Here is a 21,207-nt window from a genome sequence, read left to right as displayed (position 1 = left end):
ACATAGGTATAATTTTATATTCATCCAAATTATAAGGGAATTCCTTCTCTTATAAACTGTAGTATATTCAGCATCCACATATGTATAATCAATTTATTGACAGACATTTATTTATTCTTTTTCCTAGTATTAAAATAGACTGTTACGGTGTGAATATTTGTAGTCCCTGAAAGTATGTTTTAAAGCCTAATCCCATATGTGATATTATTAAGGGTGGGGTCTTTGGAGGAGATCATATCATGAGGAAGGAGCTCTCAGGACTGGGATTAGAACCTTTATAAAAGAGGTCCAAGGGGCTCATTGGCATTTTCCACTAGGAGAGGACACAAGAAGTTGCCATTTATGAGGAACTGGCCCTCACCAGATAGTGAATCTGCTGGCACCTTTATCTCAGACTTTCCATCCTCCAGAACTGTGATTAATAAATGTGTGTTGTTTATAAGCCACTCAGTTTACGGTATTTTGTTATATTAACCCAAAAGGACTAAGGCATAGCCAATAAAAGCAAATTCTTATGTAGTGCTAAATAGTTACTCATCAATGTTTTAAGTACTTCAATCATTTCTATTAACTATCTCAAAAAATATATGTACCCATTTTTTATTTCAAGAAGCTAAAGCACCAAGAGATTAATCCATTTCCCAAACTCATACACACACTACAAATCCCAACTGGATCCAGGATTTGGACCCAGTGATCATGCCAGTAACTAATGTACTCCAGTAATTTCAACTATTGAACCAGAAACTTAGTTTAAAAATCTGGGCTAACATTTTTATAATGACTAAGCATTTGTCAGTTTATTTAATTACATATTATCAAACTAATTGGTGAAAAAGTAAAATAAAATTATCAATCATAGTTTTGTTAATTTTTTGTCATTTGACCACTTTTACATTTAGTTTACAAGAAGTTTGCTACCACGTAGACATGTAATACTAGGTAGACAAAATCTCTCAAATATACAGGCAATCCTCAAATATTTATAAAAAATTTTTAAATTTTTTTCTTACTTAATTTTCTTCTTATCCTCCTTTTAAAAGATGTTAAAAGTAATTATTAGCCCTTTTTATTTATATATTTTTTTTACTACAACATATATCTGCTTAATTTCTGCCTCAAAAATGCAACCTGTTTTTAACTGGTATTGTCAATATCCAATAAATAATAAGTTAAGGGTGAAGGGTAAACTTGATGGCAACTTGGCTGTAGAAGGGTCTTGCCACTTTTAAATATTAGATAATTTGGCTTCTCATAAAACTGCCACCTCTACTCCTAGCCCATTATATTTTTGTCTATTTGTTTGTAATAAACTGTACAGTTCTCTCAGGGACTTACATTTTTCAGTAATCCCTCTTAGAGTGATAGTTACATGGTGCTATAAAATATTATTTTATGGCCGGGAGCGGTGGCACACGCCTATAATCCCAGCACTTTGGGAGGCCGAGGCGGGCGGATCACCTGAGGTCAGGAGTTCGAGACCAGCCTGGCCAACATGGTGAAACCCCATCTCTACTAAAAATACAAAAATTAGCCGGGTGTGGTGGCAGCCTCCTGTAATCCCAGCTACTCGGGAGGCTGAGGCAGGAGAATCACTTGAACCCGGGAGGCGGAGATCGCAGTGAGAAGAGATCCTGCCATCGCACTCCAGCCTGGGCGACAAGAGTGAGACTTCATAAAAAAACAAAACGGGCCGGGCGCGGTGGCTCAGGCCTGTAATCCCAGCACTTTGGGAGGCCGAGGCGGGCAGATCACGAGGTCAGGAGATCGAGACCATCCTGTCTAACACGGTGAAACCCAGTTTCTATGAAAAATACAAAAAATTAGCCAGGCGTGGTGGCTGATGCCTGTAGTTCCAGCTACTCAGGAGGCTGAGGCAGGAAAATGGCGTGAACCCGGGAGGCAGAGCTTGCAGTGGGCCGAGATCGCGCCACTGCACTGCAGCCTGGGCGACAGAGCAAGACTCCGTCTCAAATAAAACAAACAAACAAAAACCTCAAAAAATTATTTTACTTCTGTAAAATATATCTAAAATAAATACCTTCAGAAGCTTAACATGCCATAATGAGATACATTGAAATTGCATTTTTAGTGCTAAATTTTGGATATGCTCTTGCATTCTAGATCTGAATTGAAAATATAAATAGCATCTCAAGAATTGTATATTTCAAATTAGACTACTGCAGTGCATGTGTCTAAATGCTCTGCCCAAAACTTCACTTGCTGCAGCTTGATTAAATATATTTGTCCTTCATTTTGTCTTGGCCACCTTATATTCATTACTGTAAACTTCTCAATATTTATTTAAATGTTCAAAAATAAGTCTACAAGCTTCTATGTGTCTTGACTTCTATAAAATTTATGTTTTTACCTTAGAAATTGTAAATTTAATTTAAGCTAAAATTGAAATCCCTTATATTAAATGAGAAAGAAAAACAAAAATCCTCTAAAGAATTAAGATTGTTTTTCTTATATCAATAATGTTACCTAAAAAAAGAAGACATTTAACAGTGTTTTTACTTCAAAATTATGGTATACGATAAATATGCAAAATCTTTCTTTTTGATATAAAATAAGCTTGTGAAATTCAGTAAGGTAGAGTTTGATGGTGATAGATCAGGTTTAAAAAGTATGTTTTGATAGGAAGATAAAATATTTGTTTAATTTCTATAAATCAGAATTAATCCAATACGTCATTTTTCCCTCTAAAATATTTTGGGCTCATTCAATACATAATGACCCAAAGTCATTTACCTGAAACATTTACAAAAATGATTAAATGTGTCAAGTAATCTCTTTAAATGAATCTTAAGGTTTTGCCATAGGCGGAGATTCCACAAAATTCTTGGTCCAGAACATTTAAGATCCGAGATTCATTGTTTTATTTTCGTAGTTCTTACTTCATCACTGACAGCTGATGAAGAAACACACTGTAAGATAAAGTACTGCTGCAAATTGTTATTTATAGATGTTCCGCACAATACGCAATATTCCAGAATACTTCCCATTTACTATATTTCCAAACTTCAGGTCACAGCTCAATAACGATTTGTGAAATCAATTTATAAAACAGAAAAAGAATAAAATATGATGGTAAAAAGTTGGAATTCATGCCATGAAGTAAGGATATATGTTGTTGATGAATATTTTCAGCTGTGTGCATGTGTATGTGTGTATTTCTGTGTGCATATTTGAATACTGAGTCTTTATGCCTAGTATAATTATTAACATGAGTTGTGGCCAAAGTGCTCGAAAAATACAACTATCTTAACTGAAAATATACCTAATAAGCTAATTTTCTTAAAACTGGAGTTTAAAAAGTGGTAGTTTACAAAACAGTGTGAGCTTTTCACCTTCATATTCTCCCTTCTGGTTTTCTCTTCTTGCATTCTCTTTTACTTCTTGTTTTTGCCCTTCACAGAAGTACACTATGTTTTGCTTCCTAATATTTATCTGAACACTTCATTATTTCTTTTTTATAAGTATGCATGTGCCAAGTCTGCACAAGTCTCTCTGACTTGGCACATGCATACTTAAAAGGAATAATGTAGTTAAATATCACAAATACAAGAAACAATACAAGATGACATTCAGCCTTAAGAACTTGAGAATTTACTGGAAAAATAGAAAAGTAAATAGAAAATTACTTCCCAACTGGTGGTATCATTAGAACTCATTGGAGCTGAGAACAAATGGAAAAGAATGGATAGGAATGCACTTTTTAAAATAATTTAAGAGTAAAGAAATTTTATCTGGAACTAGAAAAATGATTCAATGACAGGCAAAAATAAAAACATGAGGTTACTTGAAACTTGATAAATAAGCAAAAAGTAAAAAAAAAGCAATAATAGTACCTGGGCTTTCAGTATCTAAGGTTTAAATGGCATTTGAATGGCCTGTCTAGTTCTGTGTTACCTGTCTCAGAGGAAATTCTTTCAGCTATATTGATAGTCTAGAAAACAGAAAATCTTATTCTTGCTACATGATTTACACTATGTGAGAAACAGTCTTTTGTGCTATTTTGCCATTTCTCTCTGTTGGTGACTGAAGTATAAAATCGTGTGACTACTTTTGTGATGTGAATTCAGAGATGTGCTAAATTTAGTTCTTCCTTTGGGAAAAAGTCTGTACAGTCCCTTAGGAATCCTAAAACTACCTAACATCTACAAGATGGAATTTTTTTCCACAAACTTTTTTTTTTTTTTTTTTTTTTTTTAGTTCTTAACAATTCTTAGTGCACTCTGATTCATCTCTATAAATGATCAAACTTAAGGAAATATATTCTCACATGTTTCTCACCATATGCACTTCAGAACTCCATTTGCTTTTGTGAATTCATCAAAAATATCTCCAAAATAATGACAGAATTAAGAATAATTCTTTCATTTTGCAAAATTTAAGGAATACCAACACTATACCCTGGCACTGGGGATGCAATGATAACAACAATAACATAATCCTTGCCTTTGTGGAGTCTACTTTGTGGGGTTAACAGTGTAGTTGGAGACAAATAAATATAGCATGGAGGCTGAGGGAGACAAGATTGTCAAAGATCGGTTCTCCTTTGGGCTAATGCAAATCTATGGGAACCATTATAAAGAACACTGGAAGAATAACAAGTTTGGGGACAATCAACATGAATTGGTGTGGGAATATTGAATTTGAGATGTGTTTAAAGCTTCTTAATGGAAATGTTATGTAGGCAATTGAACATATTGTGTGAAGCTAAGTTGGAAAGCCAGGACTGGAGATAAAAAAAAATGTAACTCCTTGGTCTGTTGAAGCAGCATCATGTAAGATTTTCAAATGATAAAACTATGTAATGGAAGAAGAAAAGGTCTTCAATGTGTGTTTTGGGAAGCTCCAACAGGCTCAAGTAAACTATAAAAACAAATTCTCACATGTATCTTAATTGAAAAGACAAAGGTACAGCAGCCCTGAGCATGTTAATGTAGCTGAATTTAGGGCTTATTGCTTACTAGCATGTCATTTCCCTGTATTATCAGCTTCTTGAGGCCAGATGCTTATTTGGCCATGGGCTCATTAAAAATGAATGATAGGGTTACAATACATAGTTTTTTTTTTAATTGAATTGAGCAAGCACATATTTTCATTTCACATCTAAAATAGTCTAGAACACAATCTAAATGCTATTTTTTTGAGCCATTGATTCATTGAGAGAACTAGGTAAATCAATTGTTTTATGCCCTAGTTTCATCATTTGTAGTGAAAAGAATGAACAAAACACTAAACTTATTACTGACCAATTTATATTACAAATCATAATAATTAATAATAGATGATATTGTCAGGGACCTAATACAGAAGGCTTCTTTCATCACTTCTTGAGTTGAGAACTGTGGTAGATTAAAGAAAGCTGCAAATGTCCATCCCTATCAAGAGTAGAGGATCTATGTCTCCTCTGCTGGTATTTGAATGGATTTCTGGGACTATCTGGCTAAGAGCATACATTTGAACATATGCTCTGCCAATTTCTGAGTCCAGGCCTTAAGAAACAGATGGCTTCCACCTACACTCTTGGAGCACTTGCTCTTGGAATCCAGCCACTATGCTTTGAGGAATACCAAGCACCAGAGTGTGAGGAATCCCAAAGACACCCACGTGAAGAGGAACCAGCCAGCAATCCCAGCTGAGTTCCCAGGGCCAGTACCACATTACCGAAGATAGGAGTACGCCATTTTGCTAGTAGGTCCTCCAGGTTTGTGGAGCTGAGTAGAGCCACCTCCACTGACTTCTGCTCAAATTACAGATTCAGCAGCAAAATTTGTTGTTTAGTTTTAAGTTTTACTTTAAAAGTTTAAAACCTAGTTTAAGCATTAGTTTTAAGATTTAAATCTGGAAGTTATTTGTTACATAGCAATAGACACCTAGAAAGACAATAAATTGAAATCAAAATAAAATCCTTATATTTACTAAAGCTGCATCAGAGAATATAGTTTGAGTCTATGACCACAGGCTTCTTAATCACAATATTTCCTTAATGTCTAGACTTTGGAACAGTCTAAAGAAAAGTTTGGGTTATCATGGCAGATATATACATCAGGAATTACTGACTCCTGGCAGTCCAGAAAATTGGAGGGAAGAAGCAAATAAATAACCCCTGTAAGAATCACTTCGAAGAGACACAGGGACAGATGAAAGGCTCTCCCTGAAATCTCACAATTTACAGGAGTTGTGCTTAGTCTAAAATAATCAAACTAGGAAAAATACCTTAAAAAACAGAATCACAGAAGAATATGTTTATTGTATTATAAGTAAATTCCTTACGTTAAACTTTCATAGCCTTAAATATACTCTACTAACAATAGACATGATTTCGGTTTTACTTTACCTACTTTTTGTTCATAATTATGTTTTATCAAAAACCATTAACATGTTCTAGGCAATGGAAGTTGGGAGTAGAGAATCAGTAAAAGGAAAAGCAGTGTGTGTGTGTGTGTGTGTGTGTGTGTATGTGTGTGTGTGTTTTATATGTATGTAGTAAAATATTTGAACATAAAATTTTACAAAGACCACATGTTTGAAATTAAACTTTTGAGTTAGTGATGTGTGTTGAGGATTCTTCACTGGATACTTTTCATGTTTCTTCAGGGACTTAAACTAAAATTTGTTTCTACATAATTCTTCTGCAGTTAGTTATATCTTCTAACATATATAAGCAGGTATGCGTATATATATATATTTATCATCCGTCTTCATTTTCAGTGAGACTAATCTATAACTATGACTACTCTTTCATTGCATATAAGGCAACGTATAAACTTATTTTGCATGTGTTTACTACTTCTGTATTATTGTGTGGCAATGTGCACTTTTGATATATTACCTCCAAAAAGAGATTTATAAAATATATGTTTTCCTTCACCACAATTATGTAAGAAATATTTTTCAAGAGGCATATTAAAGTAGTAATATTTAACAGAGGCTGACACATCCTTCATAATTACCTTTGTTCTATTACAGCACCTCACAAATTTAGTTATTTCACACTATTGTAATACCAAAATATGGAATAGAAAAATCACTGAGCACCTAAGAACTTCAGCTGCTGTCAGTTTTGTTATCCAGATCAATCAAATCACACACATTTGTTCAAACATATGAACATTATCTCTTTCGGAAAATGTAAACTAAAATAGAACACGAGGAGAAGACATGAGCTCACCCCAGTGACCTCTGTTGAGTCATTTCACCTTGTTGAAATATAAATCTTAGCAAATCATGTATATCAAGAGAAACAATTCATCTTTCATTAGAACTCAAAAAATGTAAAACAAAATAAATGAATTATGGTCAGTTATTGACAGTGTTATATTTTTAGTGAAAGCTACCAGTTTCATTACATTTCAGAGACAAATGCTTTGAAAATATTTTTATGGTATTTTCCACATAAACTATCCATGTTCAAATATTAAATCTTGTATACCATCCTAGCTAGAAAAAATGATCATTATGACAACCTCTGCATAAATTAAACTGTATTTCTTTCAATATTTTTCTATTATATTTTTCTTTTTCCATTTTAAAGCTTACATTTAAGAAAGTAGGCTGATATCAGAATATCTATTCAATAATTGAGAACTGTTATAGCATGTCATAAGATCATTGCATTGATCTTGCTAACTTTATACTTCTATTTAACTAACTCCTCACAATTGAAATATTGACTGATCTTTATAATCCCTGATCCTTTAAGAAGAAAATAAAAGTGTTTAAATCCAAGTTAACTTTGCTTTACATTAAAGGCATGTTAAAGAAATAGACTGGTCCCTCTGAAGTTTACCAGTAGCTTGTCATTTTATATCTATAATCTTGTTTTTAGGTTACGGAAGATATCTTCCCAAAAATAAAAAGTACATTTTTAAGCTAGACAACAAAAGCTATTTAACACTAATGAAAATAAATTAACAATATGAATCTGGGATACTGTCTCTTGGGAATAGGAAAATGAAATGAGAGAGATTAAAAAAGCAGGTATTTTGCTAGTGTTCCAGGGTTCTGTCCAAGTCTACCTAAATTTCTGATACACATCCTCTCAGAGGTGCCTATGGTTCCAAACATTATAGTTATGCTGATAACCCTTAAATCTACATCTACCAAAACAAATTTATAAAGAATTAACATTAATCCAAAAATTATTGAAAATTTCTAAGACCCTCTGGGTTACTTGCATTTTAGGGATATTCGTTAAATCAAAATAATCTTTTATGAGTTGAATTTACAGAAGAATAAATGGCATTTAGTAGTTTAAAAGTCTGGATGCTTTGGTTTTCTTTTTTCCTCCTGATTTCCTAATAAAACTTTACCTAGTTTCTTACCTTTGTTTAATTTTTAGGAAATAGACGTGTCATGTGCCAAGTTTTTGTTTTTGTTTATTTTAAAGGTCTTTGATTGGAAACAGAATGAGCAAGACAAAGGAGATCAGGTGGGCTCAGACTTCCCCTTCCCTCTCTCTTTCTCGTTCTCGTTTGCGTTCTCTTTCTTCTCTCTCTCTCTTTCTCTTCTCATTCTCTTTCTTCTCTTTCTCTCTCTGATACACACATGCTGACACACACACATGCAAACATATACATACACGCAATATGTATATGTGTGTTTCATAAGTCAGAGCTACCTGTACTCTGCAGTTCTTAAAATGGTTAGTCTCAAGATGATTCTCTTCCCTACACTCACTACACAATAAGATCTAGTCCACTTCTGTGGTTTAAATATCACCGTGTGCTGAAGATTCCCAGTTTTGTCTTTAGAACCTTTTTGTTCTTTGAATTTCAGTCTTGTAAAGCTAATGGGCTATTAATCATCTCTATACATAGATATATAATCACATCACAATTTTAATATGTCCAGAACAAATCATTGATTTTTCTACCCATACATACTCATACCTCAGTGTTACCTAGCTATTCAGTTGCTTATCCTGGAAACATTAAAATCATCCAATATTTTTTCTCACACATACTAAACTAATACATTAGTCAATCCTATTAATTGTACTTTCAAAATATTTCTGGAAACCAAACACTTACCACCACCACCACACTTCATCTCCAAACTACCATGACCTCTCACACAGAATCCAGAATGATACCTTTAAAATGGACATCATTTTTTTCACCTTCCACTCATAAAAAGTTATATTCCACACTCATAATAAAATCCCAAGACTTCTAATGGACATTAAGATCCTACGTGTTCCAGCCCATGGCTTTCTTGGAACTTGTTTTCTATCATTCTCTGTCCACTCATCCTCTTCTGGGCCTCTGGGTTGTTCTTTATATCAAGCATCCTCCAATTTCTAGGGATGTAGAGTTATTTTTTCTTGAGCCTTGAATCTTCTTCTCACAATTTTTGGTGATTTCTCTCTCATTGCATTCAAGTGTTGCCTTTTCAGAGAGAACTTCTCTGGCACCCCTATCTGCAAGGACATTTGTTTCTCTCATGTTGAAAAATATATAATTTTATTTTTGCTCCAACCAAAAATATGCTCAAGGAGGACAGAATTTTGATTTTATTAACTGCTAAAAGCTCAGTGTTGGCACATAGTAGGTGGTCAAAAATATTAGTTGAATAAACCTCATGAATTCTGTGGAATTCCACTACTTTTGCTCCCAACACTACATTCCCTTTTTATGCCAGAAAAATATATTTTAATAACTTAGTTATCTCTTTTTTGTTATTTGTCCTCAAGGATGTGATCTATAAGATTGGAAGAGAGTGACCTGGAAAGGGGAGTCAACCAGTGCCAGCAAGGTAAGTTTTATGCATGACATCCCTCTATGGCCCTCTATCAAATTCATAGTTCTGAACACAAGGTGGATGGTAAATAAATCTTTGTTGCATTATGGATGCTATCACAGTCCATTCATATAACCTTGCTTTACCTTTGCCACTAATACTACTAATGATAATAAATATTATTGACCTTCCTTGACATCTGCTATGACAAGACCTACTAAATTTCCCTCAATATTCATTCCCTTCTTCTTTATTTTAGTAAATAAACCTTCAAGTTTTAGCTGTGCATATGGCCATGCAGCTTGAATTTATATTTCTAAGTCTTCCTTGCAGATGGTGTGGCCATGTGCCTAAATTTTGACCCAAGAGATTCAAAGGAAATCAACGTACTCACATTCTGAAACTTTTAAAAAAGTACATTGCTTATCTTCTGGTATGCCTCCCTTTTTTTTTTTTTTTTTTCATGGACTGGATCATGGAATTAATTGAGAGGCTGGATATTTCTTTGCCCATCTAGACCCACTCTCCCCTATTCAGTTGTTCTGTGCTCTCAGAAACAGGCTGTTATGGACTCTCAGGTGCTCTGGCTTCAAATTGGTTCAGTCAGTGGAAGATTGGTACATGCAAAGAATGATGTATTTTTATGGGTTCTCCTGTTTTCGAGGCTATGTTCTCTTGTTCAAGACCGTATTTCCTGGAGAACTGTGTCTAGTCCTGCAGCTGCGGCTATTCTTCTTGGATTTTTGGATTCCAAATATTTTTTCCTTTTAAGTTCTAGGCATGATAATGATTTTATTGTTTTGAGGTTCATTTAACTCTCTCTATATCTTTATAAACGGCTCCTTTATTAAACTCTTTTCATTTGTTCAGTTGAGTGCCTCCACCCCTTCTGAGACCTTGATTGATAACAATGCATAGTACTAAGAGTTGCGCCACAAAACAGGTCATTAAGTAGGTTTGTGGGATAGGTTTGCTCACATATCTGCAGTCCTCCTTGCTGAGAGGAAAAAGGACACAGATAGTGTGAGACATCCAGTGCCATAATAATTGTTCAAATTATCATGCACAATCATAGGATTAAAAATGCGGATGGATGGAAAGTCAAGCATCTCGAGATCATGTGGCCATGGCACTTAGTTGCTGAGGAGATCATAGTCAATATAAGGATTGTGGGATAAGCTGGTTGCTTCTGTTGACCCTAAAATGAATGTTGACTTTGTCAGTCTAACTCAAACTAGGATGCAAAGTCTGAAAACCTCTATGAGGAAGATAAAACTGAGGATCAGGCCCACAGTCGGATTTCAGGGGTTGCAGAATTGCAGCCCAAGTTAAATGCTTATCCTCACCAGGTCTCTGATGCTTAGATAAAGGAAGTGATGGAGACACACTGAAACCCTGAAATTGGGTAGAGGACACTTGAAGCTGAGAAACTGAACCCTCAAATAACGTAAAACTCCCTTACTGGTAGAAGCATTCTGGCCCCTCTCTGTCTGAGGAAACCTGAATTTACTACCTGAAATCATCTTTAAATTACTGTACTACAGTTGCCTTATAGAGGGATTCTCCCCATAACCTACCCTGACAAATCGTCATTTTTCTCCAAGCTCATGAGTTAATGCCCAGCCTATTGCCAATGCAAAAGTACAAGATCTGGCAGAAAATAGCCAATATACTGAAAGAGTTGCATAACATTGTCAATTTTGATGAACATAAACCTGACAATTGTAAGATTGTATTCTGAAGGTGTTAGAGAAGACATGCAAAACAGAAGATATTATCATCTTGAGTTTATTAACATTGGTGCACTTCCTCAGGTTTCTAGGTTTAAAGTGTTGGCTTCGGCCCTGGGGAGTGGCATTTACCTTCCATAAGGATACTAATTGTTTGGCCTAAATTCAATGAAGATCAAATATCAGTACTGTCCTGGCATATACTAGATGAAAGAGTACCCTAGATCACGCATGAGAACATCATGGTGTATCTATTATGTATAAAATAAGATGGTTTTAAGCCACAACCAATGGGAGGGCCAGGAGGGCATTCTGGTCATCAAAGCTAGCAGTAAAAAATGGCTTGGTGATGGGGACAACAGAATCTTTTAAAAATTCAGGGGTGACTGTCTAGTGTAGTCTGGAGATGAAAATGGGGAATATCACAATTAGTTTAGGTTATCAATCTGAATGAGAACAGCGGAAGGAAGAGGTAAATAAAGAAGGTTAAGGCCTTTTTATAGCACTGAAAATCAGACACAAGGTGGATTACAGGGTTAGAGTGGTGACAATTAGCAACAGGGTTACATGATATTCAAAGCATTTGACCATCATTCTTAATAACACCTAATTAGTCCCAAAGTTCTTAGAAATAAAATCGATAAGAAAACTACTAAAGTCTGTGACATAAGTTAGGAGATATTTGTTTCTGAATGTTGAAATTATGTCTATCATGGCAGTAAAGAAAAAGTTTAAGATACTGGAACTGTCTTCCACACCCACACCAATCTAGTAAACCAAAAGCAATATGACCTTTCTGTGGGAACTCCAGAGATTAGAATGTTTTTCAAAGTAATGAAAAATACAGAAATGTTGATTCCTCTAAAATCCTCACTTAATTGATTGGCTGGCCCCCAAACTAAATGCACCTAAAAAAATTAAGAAAAAAACTATAATTTGTAACTGTACTTCCCAAACTGTAATCTACATAAATCTCACCAGAGATAATCTTGTTAAAAGGCACATTTTGATTAAATAAGTCTAGGATGACCTGTCAGATTCTGCATTTCTAACACATTTCCAGGAGACAGATGCAGGTGCTACTGATTGCCAATTCAAATTTGAGTAGCAAGAGATTAGAACAAACTTAATCTGCTGGTGTTGCTGTGGTCGCTGTGGTTCTAGATAGTCATTTTTAGAGAAAGTCAGAATCACCAAATCTATTTTGTCCTCCATTTGCATCATTAAAGAAAATGAGAATCAGTTGACTTTCAAGTGATAGCTGTAATATTCCATGCTGATCTGTTATATTGATAATTATTATTGACTGAATGTTTGTTTTCCCCTAAAATTCATATGTTGAAGCCTTAATCCTCAATGTGATGGTTTGGAGGCAGGACATTTGGGAGGTAATTAGGTTTAGGTGAGGTCATGATGTGGCACACATAGGATGGGATTAGTGTTCTTTTAAAGAAGAGAAAGAGGCCAGGTACAGTGGCTCACACCTGTAATCCCAGCACTTTGGGAGGCCAAGATGGGCGGATCCCCTGAGGTCAGGAGTTCAAGACCAGCCTGGCCAACATGGTGAAACCCCGTCTCTATTAAAAATACAAAAAAACAAATAAATAAATAAGTGGTGGGGGCATGGTGAAAGGTGCCTGTAATCCTGGCTACTCTGAGGCAGGAGAATTACTTGAACCCAGGAAGCGTAGGTTGCAATGAGCTGGGATCACACTATTACACTCTAGCCTGGGTGACAAGAGTGAAATTCTATCTCAAAAAAAAAAAAAAAAAAAGAGAGAGAGAGAGAGATAGAGACAAAAGACAAAAGACATCTTTCTTTCCCACCAAGTAAGGATGCAGCAAGAAGAGAACTGCCTGTAAACCAAAAAGATAGCTTTCACCAGAAAACAAATCAGTCTGCACCTTGAGCTCAAACTTTCAGCCTTCAGAATTATGTGAAATAAATGTTGGTTGTTTAAGCCACGAAGCCTTTTATCATAGAAGCCTGCACTGATCCCAGCACTTTGGGAGGGCAAGGCAGGTGGATGACCTGAGGTCAGGAGTTCAAGACCAGCCTGACCAACATGGAGAAACCCCGTCTCTACTAAAAATACAAAATTAGCCTGCCGTTGTGGCAGGCGCCTGTAATCCCAGCTACTCGGGAGGCTGAGGCAGGAGAATTGCTTGAACCTGGGAAACGGAGGTTGTGGTGAGCTGAGATCATGCCATTGCACTCCAGCCTGGGCAACAAGAGTGAAACTCCGTCTCAAAATAAATAAAATTATAAAACAATACGATAATTGTGCTTGATGTTCATGGGGTAGGAAGCACCACAGATACCTTAGTAAGAAACTTGCATGTCAAAGATGGTGGATAATTATCATTTAAGGTCTTTGAAAACGGTCACCATCACTATAGCACAACACGCAACATAGCTTCTTGCAAATAATTCATTTTACAATAGAGAAAAGGAGGTATTGAGCTCACTCCTATTGTATTAACTGTCCTTTCCTCATACCCTGCCACCCAGAAGAAAACTCTTCTTAAAATGATGCATTTGCTTTCTGAAATCTCAGGTGTAGGATAATTTTGTAGACAATACTTTGGAGGGTTTCCTTCTTTTCTATCCCAAATGGGGCCAAATGGGAAGTGGCCTCTCTCACTATTGTTCCAAATAAAATACTGGGAGAATTTTTACTTTCTTTTATTAAGACCTCCATTCATATAAAGGTCCTAGTAGTACCCGAGGAAGAAAAGTTTTTAACCAATAAATGTAGTTTTGTTCAATGGTAACCTGGGATTGGACCTTGGTCATGTTGCTCCTGTTAAGCTCATTCCTCAGAAGACCAGTGGTCTCTTCACTGCCCGTAGCAGTGTCTGATCTCAATCACAGAAGGAAAATTGAGTTGTTGCAAAGTGGTGGGGGCAAGGAAAACGATGTGGAACAGAAAATATTCACCAGGAAATCTCTTCGTTATTTCTTGTCCTGTAGTTTTAATCCATGGGAAAACATGGCCAACCAATAGCCACAAGGTACTGATTCGATAAAGTTTTGGGTTAAACAATCCAGTCAAGCCAAGGTACTTGGGTAAGGGAAACATGGAATGCGGAGGGGGGCTATTGAAGTTTTGTTTGCATTACATTAGCTCATTTTGTATTTTCCTTTTTTTCCCCTTTACCTTATATAAGAAGTGCTGATATTAGCTGAAGTTCATTGTCAGATCAGAGCGTAGCCAAATTGACATTGATCTGTGATTATGCAATAGCTGATGGGAATTATTATGTTGTCCATTTTGTGAATATGTCTTTTCTTCAGGAAAAATGACCGCCTATCTTCCTAAATGCTCCCTCTGGACAGCTCCTTTTGAACATCCCTCTCCCACAGGTTCCATAAATGCTCCCTTTGCTTGTCCCTTCAGGCAAGTTGCTCTAGGCTCTCTGCTCTGGTCCCCTTCTCCTAGGTTTTACCAAATCCTTTTTGTTTCCTTTAACCCTGTGCCTGCTGCTGTAAACTGTCCCATTTCCAAATTCATTTGAAATATGTCGATGGATTCCGTCCTATGTTTCTTGCAGGGACCTTGATTGATATATTTTGAGGGCTACCTTTTGAACATGCAGGCAATGTGATATTGGAGGTGGTAGCAAAGCAGCAAGATAAAAGGAATTTGTGTCTGTCCTGGAATCACCTACTGAGCGGAGCTTCCTATCCTCCCTGGACCTCTTGCTTACCAGACTGTCATATGAAATAGAAATATGTAATCAACTGTTTGTGATACTGTATTTTTCAATATCTTTGTCATAACAGCTTAGACTGTACTCTAATTAATATACCTACTATGTGACCAGCACTGAGCTAAGGGATTTACACAGAATTTCTTATTTAATCTTTATGAAATTCTGAAGAGGTTGCCATTATTAATCGCATTTACAAATGAGAAAACTGAGCTTCACAAGCCCTGAGTAATTTGCCCAAGTTCACAGAGCTAACAAGTGACAGAGTTGGGAATTCAGCTAAAATCTATCTTATTCCAAGGTGTGCAATCTTTATCCTGTAGTGTACTGCTCCTTAAATGGATCTGCTCTGCTCTTTCCAGGTTCCAGTCTCTTCAAACTCTGCAGAATTTACCTAAATTAGCACTTTTCTCTCACCCTCACCTAATCTGTGGGGAGCTGTGATCAGAATGTTCTGTAAGCACAGGAGCTAAGAAATAATCATCAAACCTTACCCCCACAATGAGTCCATCAATCTTTTGTGTAACACTGATCAAAAATAGAAAGCAATGAAGTACTTTTTGTGCAGTATATTTAAGGTCGTCTTGAAATTGATGTACTCCTCCACAAAGTAGAGAGTCAATAGTGATAAGGCAAGCTGGGATTAGATAAAGACACTTATCAAGGATCTGCATCTTTTGCTTGAACAATTTTGAAGAAAAAACAGAGATTCTGTTAACTTTGGCAGAGGCTTTTAAGCTGCCAACACGACCCTAATCTTTGAAATGTTTGACAGGAGGGAAAAGAAAGGATGCTGGCAAAATTATGTGCTTTACATTCCAAGGGCAACATTACAACAAGCTTTTAAACTAATACAGGCTTAGATCATTGAAATATCTCTTAAACACAACATTATAGAGCTTCACTTCAATTTCCCATACTAGTTGTCCTCCTGTGTGTTGACCTCGTCTTTTCCATATTGTGTTCACAAGTGTACTTGAAGAGTATTTCCAAATACTAAACATGTGACTGGAACTATTGAGAACACTGATACTGTGACATTTTTGGTGTTGATGGAGCTCTTTATGTCAAATCTGGTGAGTAGAAATGCAAGCATGTGTTCAGTTATTTTCTTAGCAATTATATGAAAAGTAGAAAAGCTCAGAGTAGAAATAATTAACTGGATTCTATATTTTATGCTATGTATGGTATCACGCTGTAAGCTTTTGAGACGTGTTTGGAGATAGGAATATGGCCTATAGAATAGATGGCTCAGAGCTCTCACAAATTCAGAAAACCACCAGGAGACTGCAGGTCTGCTGAATATAATAATGGTTCTTATAACTAAATTGTTAATTTAGATATTGACACAATACTTTTTAGCAGCTCCAACTATCCATAGACAATCTTATGGGAATGAGAACTGGATTATATTAGAAACTGTGGATTCTCATCCCAACTCTATCACAAGGGTTTTGTGACCTCTGTAGATATAATACCATTCCCATGTACTAGAATAAATAAAAATGTGAAAAGCCTTCACAATATAATTTATTCTCCCACATAGAAGGGTATATGCCCCAGTGCTTTAGGACACGGGTTTTAGAGCCAGAATTTGCAGGTTCGAATATTGGTCCCGACACGAATTATCTGGAATTCTCAGATACTTACCTTGTATCAATGTGTCTTCACTTGAGCACATCCCTTTGCTATTACTAAAAAGTATTTTGATATATAGAGGTTTTTTTAAAAAATAAATCTCATTTAATTGTCACCAATAACTTTATGTACTAGGCCCTTTTTTAAAAAAATCTTTTTTTTTAATGTTTTTATTTCCATAGGTTTTTGGGGAGCAGGTGGTGTTTGGTTACATGAGTAAGTTCTTTAGTGGAGATTTGTGAGATTTTGGTGCACCCATCACCTGAACAGTATACACTGAACCCAATTTGTAGTATTTTATGCCTCACCCCCTCCCACCCTTTCCTCCAAGTCTCCAAAGTCCATTGTATTATTCTTATACCTTTGCATCCTCATAACTTAGCCCCCTTTTATGACAGACAACATACAATGTTTGGTTTTGCATTCCTGAGTTACTCCACTTAGAATAATAGTCTCCAGTTCCATGCAGGTTGCTGTAAATGCCATTAATTTGTTCCTTTCTGTTGGCTCAGTAGTATTCCATTGTGTGTGTGTGCATATATATATATGATATATATATCACAATTTCTTTATCCACTGGTTGATTGATGGGCTTTTCAGATGGTTCCATATTTTTGCAATCGTGAATTGTGCTTCTATAAGCATGCATATGCAAGTATCTTTTATGTATAATGACTTCTTGTCCTCTACTAGATACCCAATAGTGGGATTGTGGGATCAAATGGTATTTTTACTTTTAATTCTTTAAGAAATCTTTAATGTCTTTAAGAAATCTCCACACTGTTTGCCACAGTGATTGTACTAGTTTACATTGCCACCAGCAGGTTAGAAGTGTTCCCTTTCCACAGCATCAACACCAGCATCTATGCTCAACATCACTAGTGATCAGGGAAATGCAAATTAAAACTATGATGTTATACCACCTTACTCCTGCAGGAATGCCAATAATAAGAAAATTTAAAAAAAGAGGATTTTTTTAAAAGAAGACAATTCTCAGCCAGGGACTTCAGAATGTTTTCTTATTTTGATTTATTTATATATTTTCAACAAATACTTTTTTGCCTACTTTAGGGCAGATACTGAGATAAATATGGTTCTCAATTCTATTAGCAATTATAGGGAAAGTCTAAAATAAAAAACACAGATATTTAGTGCATTTCCATGCATGTGTTGGACATTTGGAAGTTCTTTCCAAAAAGTTACAATAATTTGGTACACACTCAAGAAGAATATATGTATTTATATAACCACACAGTTTTATAAAACAGTATTATAATAAAAAAACTTTATATTACAGTTTTAATTGCATAAATTTATCGTTATGCTCTAAACATATTTTGAGGTAAAATTCAGCAATTAAATAGACTGAGGTCTTGCTCTTTAGCAGCTGTGGACAGAGCACATGTATGTATTTGCTTCAGAAGTATCACAGTGTTTCTTTCTAATGTCAAGACACTTTACAATATCATGTTTGAACTTTTATCTGTTACTCACAGTTATCCTGTGAGAACATTTTTATTAACTTTATTTTTCACTTATGGAAGCGGATTTAAACAGATTAGAGCTACATTCTCTCAGCTAGTAAGTGGCAGAGGAGGGCCTCATACCGTGGCTCTCACCCCAAATCCATTCCTCTGTCCTTCGAATCATGCCATGTGGGTTGTCACCTTCTTCCATTTACTGCTCCACTGGTGTGTTTCCACATGCTACCTCTGTGTAAATATCCTATTTCTTAGTTTTCTCTTTTGAATTTTATTATTTATACTCTGTATCAGCCACATGCACAATTTGTGTATGTTTGTTAGAGTCATATGCTGTGCATATGAAGAGTTTTAGAGAGAAGCGTCGGTAGAAGTGTCATTCTTCTGGAATTAAATGAGTATCTTTTGTTGATTGTAGTGATAGCACAAATACTCTCAGTGGAGAAAAATAACTATATATATGCTTCTCTCTCTTTCTCTCTCTCTCTCTCTCCCGTCTCCCCCTCTCCACACACACACACACACACACACACACACATATACAGACAGAGGTATAGAAAATATATTTTATATTACTATATAGTATATAGAGTATACTATATAGTATCTATGTATTTCCCATGCATATTCCCTATACATGTTACTATATATTACTCATTCCATATTCTCTCTATTTGTTACTCTCTATATTACCATATATCAAGTAATATATGGTAATATGTTAAATATATTTACGATTTATATATTTTATATTTTTATTATATATTTACTATTTATATATTTAAATATATGAATATATTAAATATATTTGCTATTACTATATAGTATGTTATTAAATATATTTGCCATTACTATATAGTAATATATAAATTATTAATTGTATTTACTATTACTATATAGTAACAGTTATTAAATATATTTACTATTACCAATATATTTACTAATGTGCTATATTATTTACTATACATAATATATACTATACACTATATCTACCATATACTATATATATTAATTACTATATAGTAAATTATACAGTTAATACTATAACACTACAGTAATTATATAGTAAATTACTATGTAATAAATATAGTATCGCAATATTTACTATTACTATATAGTTATATATAGTAACATATAGAGATAATCTATAGAGAGTAATATGCAGTTATATAGAGAGAATATATATAGACAGATTTTTTAATAAAGAAGAGTTATTTATTGAGCATCTACTTTGTGCCAAGTCATCTATATATGCTATCTCATTTAATTATGACAACATCTCTTGTGTTTGTATAAGTTCCTCCATTATATAAATGTCTTAAGAAACTCACATGCGTGAATTACTTCCTTTGTGTCACATAGTAAATAGAGCCAGGATTCACTTTTCTGTGTTTCCAGAACTTTTGCTCCTTGTGTTTCTTTTAAAATTATGCAATAATATTTATACATACAAAATAATATGTATATTAAAAAATTGCATAATGACAAAATACATAACTGATCCTATCACATAAAGAAATAAAATATTACTAATATCTGTGCATTTAACTGTAAGCACATGGAATTAACTACTATTCTAAATTTAGTGTTTTTCACTACATCACTTTATCAAAAATCCTTTAAAAAGTTTTTATCATGTGTGTAAATACTATTAAGCAATTCAATGTACTGCTTAGGCTTTTTTTGTAGATTTATTAAAATATTATTATAAATATTATTGTTTGCTGTAGATTGGATTATTGATCAACAAAGATCTGAGCTCCAAAGATCTATAGTGGTGTAAATACATTTTCAAACCACTGATTGTGGCCTTGGCCATGTGATGCACTTTAAACAATGGAAAGTTAACAAACTCAAAGCAAGCAGGAAAGGAATTTGAATGTGCTAGTAGTGTGGCTTGCATTAACTCATGGACTATAATAATAGACCATGTCAAAAACATGCCCAGGTAGTTGCTATTGTTTCCATCTGGATCCCAGAACCAGAGGTGTTGCAGCAGACCCAGACTTAACCTCCCTAACGGTAGCCATCATCAGAAAGTGCAGCACTCAAAGAGCAGAGACTCAGACAAGCCCAGACTTCATCACCCATATGGCAATCAATCTGAATACCTGAAAGCATCAGAATAAATGATGTTATAAATCATCAGTTTGGGGGGTAGTTTGTTGCAAAGCAAAAATGTGGCATTAGCTGATTGCTATGGCTTCTCTTACTGATTTTTAAAATCTAATTTTATGTTTTTAAGATATATCCAGGCTGGGGTTTTTGTGTGTTTTTATTTAAATTCATTTCTTTTCATTACTATATATTTAATGGTATCTATGTGACAAAGTTTTTCTAACACATTTCCTCTTTGGTGGACTTTTTTGTTTCCTTTTTAATTTCTTTTTAAATTGAGGACACAGGTGCTTGCATTTAGGGCCTACTCAGATACTGCAGCAAAGATTTCTCCTCTTGATCTCTGTATCTTAATTACATCTGTTAACATCTTGGTTAATATTCACTCCTTTGTGAAGATTTTTGCACCAACCAAAATTTGTTCATCCATTCCCTTGATGAACATTTGTATCGTTTACAGTTTTTAGCTATTATTACTAAAGCTGCTACAAAAAATATGTGTAGAATTCTAGTATGAATATATGCTTTTATTTTTCATGGGTAAATGCCTAAGAGTGCAATATCCGAATCACATGGTCTGTGTATGTTTAACTTTTTAAGAAGCTGGCAAACTGTTATCCAAAGTCGTTCAAAATTTTTACAATCCTCTGAGCAGTAGATAAGATTTCCATCTTCTCCATATTGTCACCCACACTTGGCATAGTCAGTCTTTTAAATTTTAGATATTCAAATAAGTGTGGAGTAGTATCTCATTGTGCTGTAGATCATAA

General features: G+C 34.9%; 1 long non-coding RNA gene across 1 annotated transcript in view; it reads left to right on the top strand.

Moving 5' to 3' along the window:
* The window catches only part of LOC105372169 (uncharacterized), a 41,781-nt gene extending 32,009 nt beyond the window's left edge, over nucleotides 1-9,772 (top strand). Inside the window, exons 4-5 of the long non-coding RNA XR_935583.2 lie at nucleotides 8,405-8,446; nucleotides 9,710-9,772. This is a non-coding gene — a long non-coding RNA (uncharacterized LOC105372169). The remainder of the gene's footprint in view (nucleotides 1-8,404; nucleotides 8,447-9,709) is intronic.
* The last annotated feature ends 11,435 nt before the right edge of the window (nucleotides 9,773-21,207 follow it).

This window comes from Homo sapiens, chromosome 18 (assembly GCF_000001405.40).
Source record: "Homo sapiens chromosome 18, GRCh38.p14 Primary Assembly".
Taxonomy (NCBI): Eukaryota; Metazoa; Chordata; class Mammalia; order Primates; family Hominidae; genus Homo; species Homo sapiens.
The sequence above is the reverse complement of the archived record's forward strand: the minus strand, read 5'-3'. Positions and strand labels throughout refer to the sequence as shown.